Below are 17,482 nucleotides of genomic sequence, written 5' to 3'. Positions count from 1 at the left end.
CTATTTATGTTTTTGTCTCCCCTCTAACACTATAAAGTCTGAGGTTTCTGTACTCAAACATATACCCTTTGTAATAATCTGTTAATGTTGGCAAGTCTCTATCCCTCATAACACACTCAGTACCATGCAGCATTGCCTGCCTGGGACGATAGTACAAAGGGAGCCGGACCTCAAATCAGATTTCCTCATTCTGAGCACAGTGCTCTTGTTCCTCTAAACTTCAATTATTTCCACACTATTTTTACAGTTTTGCCATAACATTGTACCACCTTGGCTGTTATTTGCTTATCATGTTTTTTTAATTTTTTTTATATTGACTGAGTTTGTTTAAATAATTGATCTGAGGCTGAGTGCAGTGGCTCATTCCTGTAATCTCAGCGCTTTGAGAGGCCAAGGCGGATGGAGGTCCGGAGTTTAAAACCAGCTTGGCCAACATGGTGAAACCCCATCTCTATTAAAAATACAAAAATTAGCTGGGCGTTGTGGCGCAAGCCTGTAATCCCAGCTACTCAGGAGGCTGAGGCAGGAGAATCCCTTGAACCCAAGAGGCGGAGGTTGCAGTGAGCCAAGATCGCGCCACTGCACTCTAGCCTGGGTGGCAAAGTGAGACTCTGTCTCAAAAATAAATAAATAAATAAATAAATAAATAAATAAATAAATAAATTTGAAAAAGAAATTTTATATAATAATAACTCACTAACCATAAGTAAAAGGATACACTGAAATAAATACAAGAAAAATCAAATAAGATACCAAATACCAGCTGGAATCTACCACCTGTTGATTTTCTGAGCTTAATCTTTGTCTAAATAAAAAAAAAACAAAAACAAAAAACAAAAAACAAAAAAAACAGAGCCAAGCAGGGTGGGATGAGGGTCGGAGAGTTTGTTTACCAAGTGTTAAAAGGTGTTTAAGACATACAGCATCTACATGAGACTCTGCTTAACTGAAATCACATGGCTGAAAATAAGACAGGGAGTACTTTCTAATATTCAGTTTAATTTTTTTTATATATGGAGTCTTGCTCTGTCACTCAGGCTGGAGTGCAGTGGGGTGATTTTGGCTCACTGCAGCATCTGCCTCCCAGGCTCAGGCAATCCTCCCACCTCAGCCTCTCGAGTACCTGGGACTACAGGCGTGTGCCACCACACCCAGCAATTTTTTTTTATTTTTTATTTTTTGTATTTTTAGTAGAGACGGGGGTCTTGCCATGTTGCCCAGGCTGGCCTGGAACTCCTGAGTGCAAGCTACTCCACCCGCCTGGGACTCCCAAAGGGCTGTGATTAGAGGTGTGAGCCACCATGCTGGGCCTCAGACCACGTACCACTTTGAATAATTTCTAGTACCACATCAAACTATCTCCTCCACTATCGGTAATACATTGCACATAATCTAATGTACCTCGAAGTATACCTTTGAAACTTAATTTAATATGACTCACCAGATTTTTGTAATGCTATGATTAAAAATATCACCCGAACCACAGTTCACAGGCACGACACTGACCTCACCTCTAAATTCAAACCCCCATTGTTCCAGCTACCACATCTCTCCATCATTGTCATGTATCACAATTTCATGTTTATTTCTGTTGTATTTGATGAAGACTGTATGCTCCTTTAACATAGTGGCTTCATCTTTTTTACCATGGTTTCCACGCAGCTTAGTAAAAATGCAGCACATGGTGAATATTAAGCAAACATTGTTAAAAGACGGACTGCTGCATGAATGAGTGGATAGAGTTATGTCTCTCTTTGTCTTCTGTGAAGCATCTCTGGAAAGACAACAGAAAGGCTAGTGGCTTATATGTGCAAAGATTCAGAAAAGAAAATAATGGGAAGGAGTAATAAGATACCTGTCCCAGCATGTGCTGTTCCTTTCTCTCTGTAGGCACTCAATAAATACTCAAAAAGCCAAAAGATTTTGCTGAAAGAAGAATAAATGGTGTATAAAGGACTAACATGGTATTATGTGTGACCTCATACATTCTTACAAGTGAAAGAATCATCTTAGCCCCAATTTTACCAGCCCACATGGTTATTAACCTGTAACATCTTAACAGGGTTTGAAAAGGCAGCAGCACTTATTTTACAGCCCTGCCCTCTCAGATAAAAAGAAAAGAAAAAAGCTCCCAAGCTGTTAACAAAAGAAAACTAGAAGGAAAGAAATCAACATTCTTCTAAGTTTACCTGGTATGGCCCACTATTCTCCATGAGCAACAGACTACAGATCATTCCTAGAATAACAGCATATGATAGAGGCAGGCTCTCAGGAAGATGTGGAACTCCCACCCTTGGTCTTTTCACCTTGAAACACTAGAAAGCAGTTTAACAATCTCTTATGTTCTTCCCTCAAACATAATGATATAATGATGATGTCTTGCTCAAAACTTTGCTCCAATTTGTACGTCTGGTAGTGGGGATGGACAGGACTGTGTCATTCACATTCTTCACTCCACGTTCCCAACCACAATCAATAGGAGAATTCCTTCTAGAAGCTGCCTTGGGATTTGTAGGCATGCCTGGAGATCAGATGTGTTTGGGCGTGTCTTTCCTCTGTGCAAAGTTAACTGCCAGAGGAAGTACAGCTTTCTTCCTGCTCCAGCTGGATGAAGGGGCTGAAACTGAATACTAAGTTTATTCTGTCCAAGCGTAGCTCCTCAAGGCTGGGTAAGGAAAGGGGATCCCACTTAGGAGAGACTTCTAAGTTTGGGCTTCTGTTAAGAGCAGAAGATGATAATTAGTGTGTATTGAGTAATTACTATGTGCCGGGGAATCTCTAAGATATAGGTAGATAAATAGAGATATAATAATTTTAAAGGAAAAAAAATTTTTTTTTGAGATGGAGTCTTACTCTGTTGCCCAGGCTGGAATGCAGTGGCGCGATCTCGACTCACTGCAACCTCTGCCTCCCAGGTTGAAGCAATTCTCCTGTCTCAGTCTCCCAAGTAGCTGGGAATACAGGCGCCTGCCACCACACCTGGCCAATTTTTGTATTTTTATTTTTTATTTTATTTATTTACTTATATTTGAGACACAGCCTTGCTCTGTCGCCCCATCTGGAGTACAGTGGTGCGATCTCAGCTCACTGCAACCTCCGCCTCCTGGATTCAAGCAATTCTCCTGTCTCAGCCTCCCAAGTAGCTGGGATTACAGGCGGCTGCCATCACGCCTGGCTAATTTTTTGTATCTTTTTTAGAGATGGGGTTTCACCATGTTGGCCAGACTGGTCTCGAATTCCTGACCTCAAATGATCCACCTGCCTCTGCCTCCCAAAGTGCAGGGATTACAGGCGTGAGTCACCGTGCCGGGCCTAATTTTTGTATTTTTAGTAGAGATGGGTGAAGGGGTGGGTTGCCCCTCCACACCTGTGGGTGTTTCTTGTTAGGTGGAACGAGAGACTTTGGAAAAGAAAAAGACACAGAGACAAAGTATAGAGAAAGAAATAAGGGGGCCCAGGGTACCAGCGTTCAGCATACGGAGGATCCCGCCAGCCTCTGAGTTCCCTTAGTATTTATTGATCATTCTTGGGTGTTTCTCGGAGAGGGGGATGTGGCAGGGTCATAGGATAATAGTGGAGAGAAGGTCAGCAGATAAACGTGAACAAGGGTCTCTGCATCATAGACAAGGTAAAGAATTAAGTGCTGTGCTTTAGATATGCATACACATAAACATCTCAATGCCTTACAGAGCAGTGTTGTTGCCCGCATGTCCCACCTCCAGCCCTAAGGTGGTTTTCCCCTATCTCAGTAGATGGAACATACAATCGGGTTTTATACCGAGACATTCCATTGCCCAGGGACGGGCAGGAGACAGATGCCTTCCTCTTGTCTCAACTGCAAAGAGGCATGCCTTCCTCTTATACTAATCCTCCTCAGCACAGACCCTTTAGAGGTGTCGGGCTGGGGGATGGTCAGGTCCTTCCCTTCCCATGAGGCCATATTTCAGACTATCACATGGGGAGAAACCTTGGACAATACCTGGCTTTCCTAGGCAGAGGTCCCTGCGGCCTTCTGCAGTGTTTGTGTCCCTGGGTACTTGAGATTAGGGAATGGTGATGACTCTTAACGAGCATGCTGCCTTCAAGCATCTGTTTAACAAAGCACATCCCACACAGCCCTTAATCCATTTAACCCTGAGTTGACACAGCACATGTTTCAGAGAGCACGGGGTTGGGGGTAAGGTTATAGATTAACAGCATCTCAAGGCAGAAGAATTTTTCTTAGTACAGAACAAAATGGAGTCTCCTATGTCTACTTCTTTCTACACAGACACAGTAACAATCTGATCTCTCTTCCTTTTCCCTGCAGACGGGGTTTCACCATATTGGTCAGGCTGGTCCCGAATTCCTGACCTCAGGTGATCCACCCACCTTGGCCTCCCAAAGTGTTGGGATTACAGGTGTGAGCCACTGCACCCCGCTTAATTATGAGATTATTTAGAGATTATTATTTAGAGATTATTTTTAATCTCTAAATATTTAGAGATTATTTTTAAATGTTATTCTAGGGGCCAAGGGAAATACTTCTTTGCTCTCCTAAGATTCCCTGAAAAATCAATTTGCAAAAGACAAATTAATTGGAGAAAAGGCATACATATTTTATTAACGTGTACACGGGGAGGATCACACAGTGATTACATACCCTCCCAGTAGGGTTCAGAAAGTTATATATCATCTTAGCAAAACAGGTTATGGTGGAAAAATAGATTTTTGGAGGGGAGAAGAGGAAAAATGAATAGATAAGTGAATGTGAACAGAGATTAACTTGTAAATCATTCTCTTTGGAATTTGAATGAGACAGAGAGGCGAACACGTTACTTCGTGAAAGGGTCTATTCAGCTGTGGTTACATTTTTGGTCTTAAAAGGAGGATAATTAAAAACAATTGTTCTTGGTAGGTCTAGATCTTAGGCAGATAAAGGAACTTCAACTTCATCCTGTGCTTTGGGAGAGACGGTGGAGGTGGGAGGTCAGAGAGATCTTGAGACTTCTTCAATTCAGCAAGTCAAAGCCCCATATTTTGGGGTATTAATTTCTGAGCTCCAACGATCACTTACAAGCTGGGTGATTTAGACCTATTGTTTAACCTTAATTCTCCTATATCCCCAAAGGGGAATAATTACCACTAATAATACCAATATCTATTTTCATAAGGTTTTTGAGGATTAAATTATCTCTGAAAAATCACATCAAACACATCATAAGCACTCAATAAATATTAGCTATTGCTACTATTCATTCAACACTATATTTCAAGCACTGTTCTAGATGTTGGCAACACATCAATGAATAAAACAAATATCTCTGTCCTTGTGCAGCTTACATTACTATTAATATTTCCATGCAATGTGGTAAAGTATGAACACTCATCATTTTGAGGCAGGAGAATAGGGCCTGGAGGCAGGGAACCTAAGGACTTCCTAGAACTAAATCAAATGGAAACACTTCAGCTGTGACAGGTAATATCCCTTCCACTTACATAGGGTGTACATCAAGTAAATGACTTTGTAATTTTACATCATCCTCTTCATTTACATAGGGCGTACACCAAGTAATCAATGGAAACCTCTAGAGGGTATTTAAACCAAAAAAAATTCTGTATTGGGGCTCTTGAGCCCCTATGCTTGGGCCCGCTCCTACCCTGTGGAGCATACTTTCATTTTCAATAAATTTCTGCTTTTGTTGCTTCATTCTTTCCTTGCTTTTCTTGGGCGTGATGTCCAATTCTTTGTTCAAGATGCCAAGAACCTGGACAACCTCCACTGGTAACAATTTTATCCCCAGAGTCTAGTTGTCTTGGCTTGGGATTGCCCCCGTTCCTGAGAAAATGAATTGGGTCTATTCACTTCTTTGAGAGGTGGTCCTAGATAGCACAGTAAAGGACAGAAAAAGTCAAACAGGAAAGGGAGAAAGGCCAAGACAGTATACTGAATTAGTGAGTTACCTCTATGTGCGAATGGAACTCAACCTCACAGAGACCCTCTGAATGGCTGTGTAGAACACACTTCAGAAGTGTTCTGGGATATCTGTCCCCCAACTTGTTTTGCATTGGTAGAAGTTCGCTCCTGAGGCATCCCTTAAGCAGAAAGACCCAGAAAGTCATTCCTACGCACAAGAATTTTCTGCAGATCTGATGAGAGGGCTGAAGGGATATGGGTAAGGAACCAACAGCTCTGCTGTGCTCGCTGAGTGACAGGCATGTGATAGGCTCTGAATAAATACGTAAAATAAAGAACAAGGCCGGGCATGGTGGCTCACACCTGTAATCCCAGCACTTTGGGAGGCTAAGGTGGGCAGATCACGAGGTCAGGAGTTCAAGACCAGCCTGGCCAACATGGTGAAACCCTCGTCTCTACTAAAAATACAAAAATTAGCCGGGCGTGACTGGGGGGAACCTGTAATCCCAGCTACTCGGAAAACTGAGTGTCTCACGTGCCCGTGTGAAGAGACCACCAAATAGGGCTTGTGTGAGCACATGGCTGTTTATTTCACCTGGGTGCGGGCGGGCTGAGTCTGAAAAGAGAGTCAGCGAAGTGTGGTGGATTATCATTAGTTCTTACAGGTTTTGGGATAGGCGGTGGAGTTTGGAGCAATGTTTTGCGGGCAGGGAGTGGATCTCACAAAGTACATTCTCAAGGGTGGGGAGAATTATAAAGAACCTTCTTAAGGGTGGGGAAGATTACAAAGTACATTGATCAGTTAGGGTGGGTCAGAAACAAATCACGATGATGGAATGTCATCAGTTAAGGCTATTTTCACTTCTTTTGTGGATCTTCAGTTGCTTCAGGCCATCTGGATGTATACACGCAGGTCACAGGCTTAGCTTGGGCTCAGAGGCCTGACACTGAGGCAGGAGAATCGCTTGAACCTAGGAGGCGGAAGTTGCTGCGAGCTGAGATCACGCCGTTGTACTCCAGCCTGGACGACAGAGTGAGACTTTGTCTCAGATAAATAAATAAATAAGAGCAAAAGAAAAAGAAAGGGGGAAAGCACTCAAGTCTGTCTGAGGACACAAGAAGCCTTTCCAGCAAAACTGGTAATTATTGAATTGCATCGTTTTGTTTTATTTGTAAGAGATGGAGTTCTCATTCTGTTGCCCAAGCTGGAGTGCAGTGATGCGATCAGGGCTCACTGCAGCCTCAAACTCCTGGGATCTAGTGACCACCCCCGGCCCCCACCCTCTGGAGTAGCTGGAACTGCAGGCACACACCACCATGCCCAATTTTTTTTTTTTTTTTTTTTTTTTTTTTGAGATGGAGTCTTGCTCTGTAGCCCAGGCTGGAGTGCAGTGATGCAGTCTTGACTCACTGTAACCTCCAACTCCAGTGTTCAAGTGATTCTCATGCCTTGGCCTCCTGAGTAGCTGGGATTACAGGTGTGCACCACCACACCTGGCTAATTTTTGTATTTTTTGATAGAAACGGGGTTTCACCATGTTGCCCGGGATGGTCTCAAATTCCTGACCTCAAGTGGTTCAACTGCCTTGGCCTCTCAAAGTGCTGGGATTACAGGCATCACCATGCCCAGCCCATCCTAACCATTTAGATTTTATTTTAAAGGAATGGAGAATCATTGAGTTATACAAGTACAAGAGTGATATGACTGACTTGATATTTTAGAAAGATAAATCCGGAGCTGGCCCACTGGTGCACTCCCATATTCCCAGCTACTTGGGAGGTTGGGGCATGAGGATAGCTTGAGGCCATGAATTTGAGACCACCCTTGACAATGTAGCAAGATGCCATCTCCAAGAAAAAAAAGCAAAAACAAAAGAAGAAAGATAAATTTCTTTTCCTTATAGATACCTCAGTAGAAGGAGTTGAATCTGATGTCAGACAAACTAATTAAGAAGATGTTAACAATATTCTAGGAGAAAGATCATAGGATCTTCAAATAAGACAGTGGCAGGGGAAATGGAAAAGAAGAGATGAACACAAGCTTTGCCTAGATATAGCATAAATTGGTTAGATGCAGAGGAATAGAGAGAAGCATGGATGGTGCTCAAGATTCTGGCTTTTAAGGGAAAATGGCCCCTCACACTGAGCTGGAATACACAAGAAGGAGAGAAATAGGTGAGGGGATGATTTTTTTCACATATACTGTATCAGGAGCCTTTGAACTTTTGCATCCTAGTACTTCCCAAAATTATTTTGAAACATGTAACGCACACAAATTTTGACATTGACTGTTAAAATTGTACGTCACAAATGTGAAATGTTGGAAGGGGTGAAATTTCCAGCCATCCTATAAATACTGACTTTTTTTTTTTTTTGAGAGGGAGTCTCGCTCTGTCGCCCAGGCTGGAGTGCAGTGGCGCGATCTCAGGTCACTGCAAGCTCCGCCTCCCGGGTTCACGCCATTCTCCTGCCTCAGCCTCCCGAGTAGCTGGGACTACAGGCGCCCGCCACCACGCCCGGCTAATTTTTTGTATTTTTAGTAGAGACGGGGTTTCACCGTGTTAGCCGGGATGGTCTCCATCTCCTGACCTCGTGATCCACCCGTCTCGGCCTCCCAAAGTGCTGGGATTACAAGCGTGAGCCACTGCGCCCGGCCAAATACTGACATTTTAAAATGAAACTTATATCACTCCTTTTACAAAAAATTTATTTATTTGTTTTTATTTGAGAGACAGGATCTCACTCTGTCCCCCAGGCTGGAGTGCAGTGACACAGTTTCAGCTCACTGAAGCCTCAACCTCCCAGGCTCAAGCCATTCTCCCACCTAGGCCTCCTGAATCACTGAGACTACAGGCACATGCCACCACGCCTGGCTAATTTTCCTTACTTTTTGTAGAAAGGAGGTCTCACTCTGTTGCCCAGGCTAGTCTTGAACTCCTGCCTTGGCCTCCCAAAGTATTGGGATTACAGGTCTAAACCACTGTGCCCAGCCACATCACTCCTTTAATGTGTGTAATGAAATCTAAATACCATAGCAAACTGATAGCCATTAGCATCCTCTTGAAAATTACGAAGCCAGGCATGGTGGCTTATGCCTGGAATCCCAGCACTTTGGGAGACCAAGGCAGGAGGATTGCTTGAGGCCAGGAGTTTGAGACCAGCCAGGGCAACATAGCAAGGCTCTATCTGTACAAAAAAAAAAATATTAAAAAATCAGCCAGGCATAGTGGCATGTGCCTGTAGTCCCAGCTACCTGGGAGGCCAAGGTGGGAGGATGGCTTGATCCCAGGAGTTCAATGCTGCAGTGACCTATGATCGTGCCACTGCCACTGCTCTTCAGCCTGGTAGACAGTGAGACTTTCTCTGAAAAGAAAAAAAGGAAATTACATGAACAAGCTCTTATATGAAAGCCAAATTTTTACATGAATTCTTTTTCACCTTGAACCAAAATTTCCACTCCACTTTCCCTCCATTTTACTGTGATCTGACATATTTTTATTCTTAGAAGACTTTTCTTCATCACCCTATTGTACTCAGCAAGAAAAATATGCATATAGATGGAAATTAATTTTGCTAGTCTCCTGTGATCCTAAGTTCTTCTTTTTTAAGAACTCAAGTCTTCAGAATTGTTATCATTATAATTATTAGTAGTACACTAATGATCAAAATGACCAATGCATTACTAATTTTGATCAAAATCATTAAATAAAAATTATAATAAATGCCTCTAAGATAAATTATAATTTTAAGAAATTAGTTCATATGCATATTACGTGTGAATATGATTGCTCAACTGAGATAGTATTCAACATTAATTCCACTCTGTCCCATTTTCATAGATAAAAGTGTTGAGAAATCTCATTCATGTAAGGCAGAGGATGCGAATAGAAGATTTCTTACAGTAATGTCATTAAACTCTTTGAAGTCCTTCCAAATTGTATTCCAAAAATCGCAGAGTGATCTATCATTAAAATGCATTGTTTAGGCCAGCTGCAGTGGTTCACGCCCGTAATCCCAGCACTTTGGGAGGCTGAAGAGTGCGAATCACATGAGGCTGGGAGTTCGAGACCAGCCTGACCAACATGGAGAAACCCTCTCTCTACTAAAAATACAAAATTAGCCAGGCATGGTGGTGCACGCCTGTAGTCCCAGCTATTCGGGAGGCTGAGGCAGGAGAATTGCTTGAACCAGAGAGGCAGAGGTTGTGGTGAGCTGAGATTGCACCATTGTACTCCAGCCTGAGCAACAAGATTGAAACTCCATCTCTAAATAAATAAATAAATGCATTGTTTAGTGATCTATTGGCTAAAACTTGATTCTTCCCAAAAACATCTGACTTAGAAAAGGGTTTGCTGTCCAGTCATGAGAGTCATTCACTTTCTCAGTTTCTGAAACATTTGCCAAAAAGACTCTCTCCAGAATTATCAAATGATTATTAAATTACACCTATTATTTTTCTACCTAGAAACATTTTGATTAACCTGATATATTCAGAAAGGGTTAGAAAATGAAAATATTAATTTCTTTCTTTCTTTTTTTTTTTTTTTTTGAGACCAAGTTTCGCTCATGTTGCCCAGGCTGGAGTGCAGTGGCGCAATCTCGCCTCACTGCAACCTCCGCCTTCCGGATTCAAGCGATTCTCCTGCCTCAGCCTTCCTGAGTAACTGGGATTACAGGCATGTGCCACCATGCCTGGCTAATTTTTTGTATTTTTAGTAGAGACGGGGTTTCTCCATGTTGGTCAGGCTGGTCTTGAACTCCCGACCTCAGATGATCCGCCTGCCTCGGCCTCCCAAAGTGCTGGGATTACAGGCATGAGCCACCGCGCCTGGCCGAAAATATTAATTTCAAAATACCTTGTGTAATAAAAATTTTGATGAAGCATTTCTCTCTCATCATGTGATTTAAATATATTTTATTCAAAATCTCAGTGCTATATTTTTAGCTCATTTGATTTATGAAAAATGTCCACCTATTACCTAACTAGCAAAGTCAGCCTTCACTGTCAAACCAAGGGGCCAAGTAAAACTTTTTTTTGGTCAGTAAAAATGTGACTACATTTTTCTATTCAAATAAACAGATTAAGACACATCTCCCTTTGGGAGGCCAAGGTGGGCGGATCACCAGGTCAGCAGATCGAGACCATCCTGGCTAACACAGTGAAACCCCATCTCTACTAAAAAAATACAAAAAATTAGCCGGGCGTGGTCGTGGGCACCTGTAGTCCCAGCTACTGGGGAGGCTAAAGAGGAGAATGGCGTGAACCCGGGAGGTGGAGCTTGCAGTGAGCCAAGATCGCACCACTGCACTCCAGGCTGGGCGACAGAGCGAGACTCCGTCTCAAAAATAAAATAAAATAAAATAAAATAAAGACACATCTCCACTGAGGAGCACAGTGACTCACACCTGTAATTCTAGTACTTTGGGAGGCTGAGGCAGGCGGATCATGTGAGATCAGGAGTTCGAGACGAACTGGCCAACATGGTGAAGCCTTGTCTCTACTAAAAATACAAAAATTAGCTGGAAATCGCTTGAACCCAGGAGGTGGAGGTTGCAGTGAGCTGAGATTGCACCATGGCACTCCAGCCTGGGCAACAGAGCGAGACTCTGTGTCAAAAAAAAAAAAAGACACATCCCCATGACAAACATTTCATTTCTGAATTCAGAGAGAGAGAGAGAGATAGGAGAGAGAGAGACAGCCCTGCTAAGAATTTGCTCCTAAATGAAATTGTTATTCTCTTCAATATTTTTTATCTATCTTTCCCACCCCTGACACCTTTTTTTTTTTTTTTGGCTGTCAAAAAGCCCCCTATCAGAAGTGATAGTTCTTCGACAACAGTCAGGGGATAGAAAGGCTGAGTTTGTTAAAGAAAAATTGTCATCCTATCCCTAGTCCACTCTACAGTGTAACTGAATTTAGAACATTCCAACAGGGGCCAAAATAGTCCATTCCAGAGGCCATACTTCTTCCTTCACAGGGCATGTGTTAAATCAGAAAAAAAATGCCAGCCCTGCTTTGAGTGCATGTTGCCCACATTCAAAGAGCTTTCACCTCCTCTAGTATCTTGAATAATCTCTTTGGAACCCTGGAAGTTTTTTTGTGTTTGTTTGTTTTTTTGAGATGGAGTTTGACTCTTGTTGCCCAGGCTGGAGTGCAATGCCGCGATCTTGGCTCACTGCAACCTCTGCCTCCCAGGTTCAAGCGTTTCTCCTGCCTCAGCCTCCTGAGTAGCTGGGATTACAAGCGTGCACCACCATGCCTGGCTAATTTTGTATTTTTAGTAGAGACGGGGTTTCTTCATGTTGGTCAGGCTGGTCTCAAACTCCCGACCTCAGGTGATCCACCCTCCTTGGCCTCCCAAAGTGCTGGGATTACAGGTGTGAGCCACTGCGCCCAGCCTGGAAGTTTTTACACCTAATGTAAGGTACCATAACAAGATAGGGACAAGTATGCCTTTTTATTTTACCAAACGGGGTATGAGTGATTAGGAAAGGTGAGCTGAAAAGGACAACTGGCATAACACCTCAACACTCAGCATTTTCTCAGATTAATTCTTTCTAGCAGAATTACATATGGAAATGGAAATCCAGAAACTGACTCCCTTCAAATCATCTGTGTCATCATATCTCTTGGAAAATCCCTCCATCTGTCTTCGAAAACTATTTGATATATCATTTGATCCTCACAACAGCTCTTTGAGTTTGGTACTTACAATGACTGTTAATGTGACTCCTATTTAAGAGATGAAGAAACTAAGGTGCAGAGACATCAGTCCAATTATCCAAGGTCACTTGAACCCAGCTGAATCAGTATCTTGGCCTCTGTCAGCAAAGTCCCCCATTTCTGCTCTAGCTAAGCAGACCAATACACAGCTCCCAGCACCACTGGCCTTTCTACCTGGAAAGGCTCTCGTCCTTCTGTCTGCCTCCTTGTAGAATGCTGGTCTAAATGACACTCAGGTTTCTATCAATTTCTCATTTAGACTCAGTTAGTGTGTTTTATCCTTGGCTCAAGCTAATTTTTTCCCCCATTTTATTAAGAAAAATTTCTGCCAGGCGTGATAGTTGATACCTATAATCCCAATGCTTTGGGAGGCAGAGGTGGGAGGATTGCTTGAGGGCAGGATTTCAAGACCAGCCTGGGCAATATAGCAAGACCCCATTTCTATAAAAAATTTAAAAAATTAGCCAAGAGTGGTGGCAGGCTCCTGTAGTCCCAGCTACTTGGGAGGCTGAAGTAGGAGGAGGGCTTGAGCCCAGGAGTTCAACGGTACCATTGCACTCCAGCCTGGGCTACAGAGTGTGACCCTGTTTCAAAAACAAAAAGAAAAAGAAAAAATTTAAAAATATATCAGTTGAAAAATATTTATATACTCAACTGTATACCCATTAGCTAGATTCTACCATTAATATTTTAACTATACTTGCCAGATTTTTTTTTTCGAGACAGGGTCTTGCTCTGTTGCCCAGGCTGGAGGGCAGTAGCATGATCATCGTTTACTGCAGCCTCATCCTCCCAGGTTCAAGCAGATCCTCCCACCTCAGCCTCCCAAGTAGCTGGGACCACAGGCATGCACCATTATACCTGGCTAATTTTTTTTTGGTAGAGATGGAGGTCTCTTCATGTTGCCCAGGCTGGTCTCAAACTGCTTGCCTCAGGCGAGCCTCCTGCCTTGGCCTCCCAAAATGCTGGGATTAAAGGCAAGAGCAAACAAATCCTTGGCAGTTTACATTCCCACCCCAAAGCTCCATAAAATAGGAAAATACCACATACCATCATCTGAGGTCTTTTCAAGGAGAAGGGCTTCTGACCCACAGAAAACTATAAAGAAAATTTCTTGGCCGGGCACGGTGGCTGTCACCTATAATCACAACACTTTGGGAGGCTAAGTCAGGCAGATTGCTTGAGCCCAGGAGTTTGAGACCATCCTGGGCAACATGGTGAAACCCCATCAAAAAAAAAAAAATACAAAAATTAGCCAAGTGTGGTGGCACATGCCTGTTATCTCAGCTATTCAGGAGGCTAAGACAGGAGAATCACTTGAGACCTGAGACCAAGGTTGCAGTGAGCTGAGATTGTACCACTGCACTCAGCCTGGGTGACAGAGCAAAACCCTGTCTCAAAAAAACATTTTTTTTTCTCATCTCCACGGGTTCAGGTCATTCATTTAGTCCAGTGGTACCAAACCTGGAAGTACATCAGAATAACCCGGAGAGCTTTTAAAATATACCATTGCCACAGCCCTATCCCAGACCAACTGAGACAGAATCTCTGGGGGAAGAGGTAGGATTTTAGCATTCAATTAGCCAACAGCAACAACCCGGGCACCATTTTAGGCATCCGGGTGAGTAAGGATCCCTGCCTTCATGGAGCTTCACCCTCTTGCCTCACCACAGTGTTCCCTCCCGCCCAGAGTATCTCAGCCCCTCCTGCCTCTCTTTCCTTCTTAGACCTTCAGATATTTGTTCAGGCCCAGGATCCTCTTCTTCCTCTTCTCTGGTGATATGGTTTGGTTGTGTTCCTACCCAAATATCATCCTTTCTGGACAGAGTTTTGCTCCTTCGCCCAGGATGGAGTGAAGTGGCGTGATCTTGGCTCTCTGCAACCTCCATCCCCCGGGATTAAGCAATTCTCTTGCCTCAGCCTCCCGAGTAGCTGGGATTACAGGCACCTGCCATCATACCCAGCTAATTTTTGTATTTTTAGTAAAGATGAGATTTCACAATGTTGGCCAGGCTGGTTTTGAACTCCTGACCTCAGGTGATCCACCCGCCTTGGCCTCCCAAAGTGTTAGGATTACAGGTGTGAGCCACCACGCCCAGCCTCAGATCTCATCTTGATTGGAGTTCCCATAATCCCCAAGTGTCACGGAAGGGACCCAGTGGGAGGTAATTGAATCATGGGGGTAGCTGCCCCCATGCTGCTGTTCTTGTGATAGTGAATGTGTTCTCACAAGATCTGATGGTTTTATAAGGGGCTTTCCTCCTGACTTCGCTCTGCAATTCTCCTTGCTGCCACCATATGAAGAAGGAGGTGTTTGCTTCTCCTTCTGCCATGATTGTAAGTTTCCTGAGGCCTCCCTAGCCATGCTGAACTATGAGTCAATTAAACCTCTTTCCTTTATAAATTACCCAGTCTCTGGTATGTCTTTATTAGCAGCATGAGAACGGACTAATACATCAGGCTAAAGAGGGCCTGCTCATCCCTCATGGTCCAGCTTACAGGTCACTCCTCGGAGGTCCCACCTGGCTTACAGCTAAGTTAATGACTTCCTTCTCAGGATTCCTCCTGCTGGTTTCTCATCTTGTCACTGTCTAGGATTATGCTGAGGTTTGTCTCCTGTGTGGAACTCCGCACTAACTGTAAAAAGGCAGAGACTGTTGTATTTGACCTGATAACCTCATCACTTAGGAAAGTGTCTGGAGCATGGCATAGCCTCAAAACTTAAAGCAAAGACCAGTTTATATTATATTGAATGTAAGGCAATCACCACCTCCATGCATTACATGTTTCCTGGGTCTAATTCTGAAATTCTGAATTCTTCCAGATGACTTGTGACAGTCTGACAGATGCTCTGTTTTACCCAAAAGGAAAGAAACTAGACTTTTCAGTGTACAGATCTGAGATCATGAAGAGCTCTGGGGGCTTATAAATTGTGTTTCTGGATTTTTGTAAGTCCTCCATTGAAAACTTTTTTTTTTTGAGATGAGTCTTGCTCTTTCACCCAGGCCAGACTGCAGTGGCGCTATCTGGGCTCACTGCAAGCTCCGCCTCCCGGGTTCACGCCATTCTCCTGCCTCAGCCTCCCGAGTAGCTGGGACTACAGGCGCCGGCTACCGTGCCCGGCTAATTTTTTTGTATTTTTAGTAGAGACAGGGTTTCACCGTATTAGCCAGGATGGTCTCGATCTCCTGACCTTGTGATCTGCCCGCCTCGGCCTCCCAAAGTGCTGGGATTACAAGCGTGAGCCACCGCGCCTGGCCGAAAACCTTTTTATAAAAAAACTCCTTCTCCTACCAATAGAATGTTGCAACGGGAAATGTCCTACAGAATAACTGTTGGCCGGGTGTGGTGGCTTACACATGTAATCCCAGCACTTTGGGAGGCTGAGGCAGGCAGTTCACCTGAGGTCAGGAGTTCAAGAACAGCCTGGCCAATATGGCAAAACCCCGTCTCTACTAAAAATACAAAAAAATTTAGCTGGGTGTGGTGGTGGGCGCCTGTAATCCCGGTTACTTGGGAGGCTGAGTCACAAGAATTGTTTGAACCCAGGCAGCAGAGATTGCAGTTAGCTGAGATCGTGCCACTGCACTCCAGCCTGGGCGACAGAGCGAGACCCCATCTCAATTTGAAAAAAAAAAAAAGAGAGAGAAGAACTGTCATGAAATAGCCTGCTCAGCATGGCAGAAATAGTGCAGGCCTTGAAGTCCGTTGGGACAGAGGACAAAGTGTCACCTCCACCCTTCCTATTTATTTGACTTGAGAGGCAGTTTACTTAACCTCTCTAAACCTCAGTTTAGATGCAGTTTACTTAACCTCTCTAAACCTCAGGTAAGATGCAGACAAATATTCTCACGCCCTTCTCCCCACCTCAGATGTAAGCATCATGAAGAATAACATGAATAGTTCACATGTGCCGGGTGCATACCATGTGCCAGACACGGTGCTGACTCCTTAACAACTCAACACACAAACTCTTCAAGGTGCTATTATTATCCCTGTCATACAGACCACAACACTGAGACATGTTGAGTGAGTTGTCAATGATTATACAGCTAGTAAAGAGGGGATTCCAGCCAGGCAATCTGGTTCCATGTGCCCACTCTTTTTTTTTTTTTTTTTTTGAGACAGAGTCTCACTCTGTCGCCCAGGCTGGAGTGCAGTGGCACTATCTTGGTTCACTGCAACCTCCGCCTCCCAGGTTCAGGCAATTCTCTGCCTCAGCCTCCCGAGCAGCTGGGATTTCAGGCGCCCACCACCATGCCCGGCTAATTTTTATATTTTTAGTAGAGATGGGGTTTCACCATCTTGGCCAGGCTGGTCTTGAACTCCTGACCTCGTGATCCACCCGACTCAGCCTCCCAAAGTGCTGGGATTACAGGCGTGAGCCACCTCGCCCAGCCCCATGTGCCCACTCTTATCCATCTTCCAGGGACCCTGCTTGCTTCATTCACCTTGGATCCCTAGCTCCTAGAACAGTGACTGACACATGGGTGCTAAAAATTACTGTTGGGTGGATGAATCAATACCTTCTTACTGCATTATAAGGAGGAAGGAAGAAATATTTATTATCTACCATATTTCAGCCTCTTTTATGTGTATTATTTGGCTTAATTGGCAAAATTGATAGACCACTAACAATTCCTACTATTAAATCCATTTTAATAATAGCACAGAGGCTGAAACTGAAGAGGCAGAGTAACTTGCCTTAGGACACACAGCTAGGAAACAGCCTCTAAGCCTCCAAACTCCAAAGCCTATGTTCTTTTCTCTATGACTGTGGTCTTCATGTGTTTTTATTCACATACCCTTAAAATAATGTTGTATAATATACACCTCCTTGCACCTTTTTATGTTGATATCTT

The 17,482-nt window shown here is 43.7% G+C and overlaps 1 annotated feature.

Moving 5' to 3' along the window:
- Positions 3,775 to 4,314: an enhancer, noted in NCBI's record as "OCT4-NANOG-H3K27ac hESC enhancer chr1:65605473-65606012 (GRCh37/hg19 assembly coordinates)". NCBI's record gives its function as "activates a minimal SCP1, AML or CMV promoter by ChIP-STARR-seq in naive and primed H9 embryonic stem cells {active_cell/tissue: H9 hESC(naive and primed)}" and the evidence as "EXISTENCE:reporter gene assay evidence [ECO:0000049][PMID:30033119]".

Source organism: Homo sapiens, chromosome 1 (genome assembly GCF_000001405.40).
Source record: "Homo sapiens chromosome 1, GRCh38.p14 Primary Assembly".
Taxonomy (NCBI): domain Eukaryota; kingdom Metazoa; phylum Chordata; class Mammalia; order Primates; family Hominidae; genus Homo; species Homo sapiens.
Note: the sequence above shows the minus strand (reverse complement) of the source record. Positions and strands in the feature narration are given on the sequence as shown.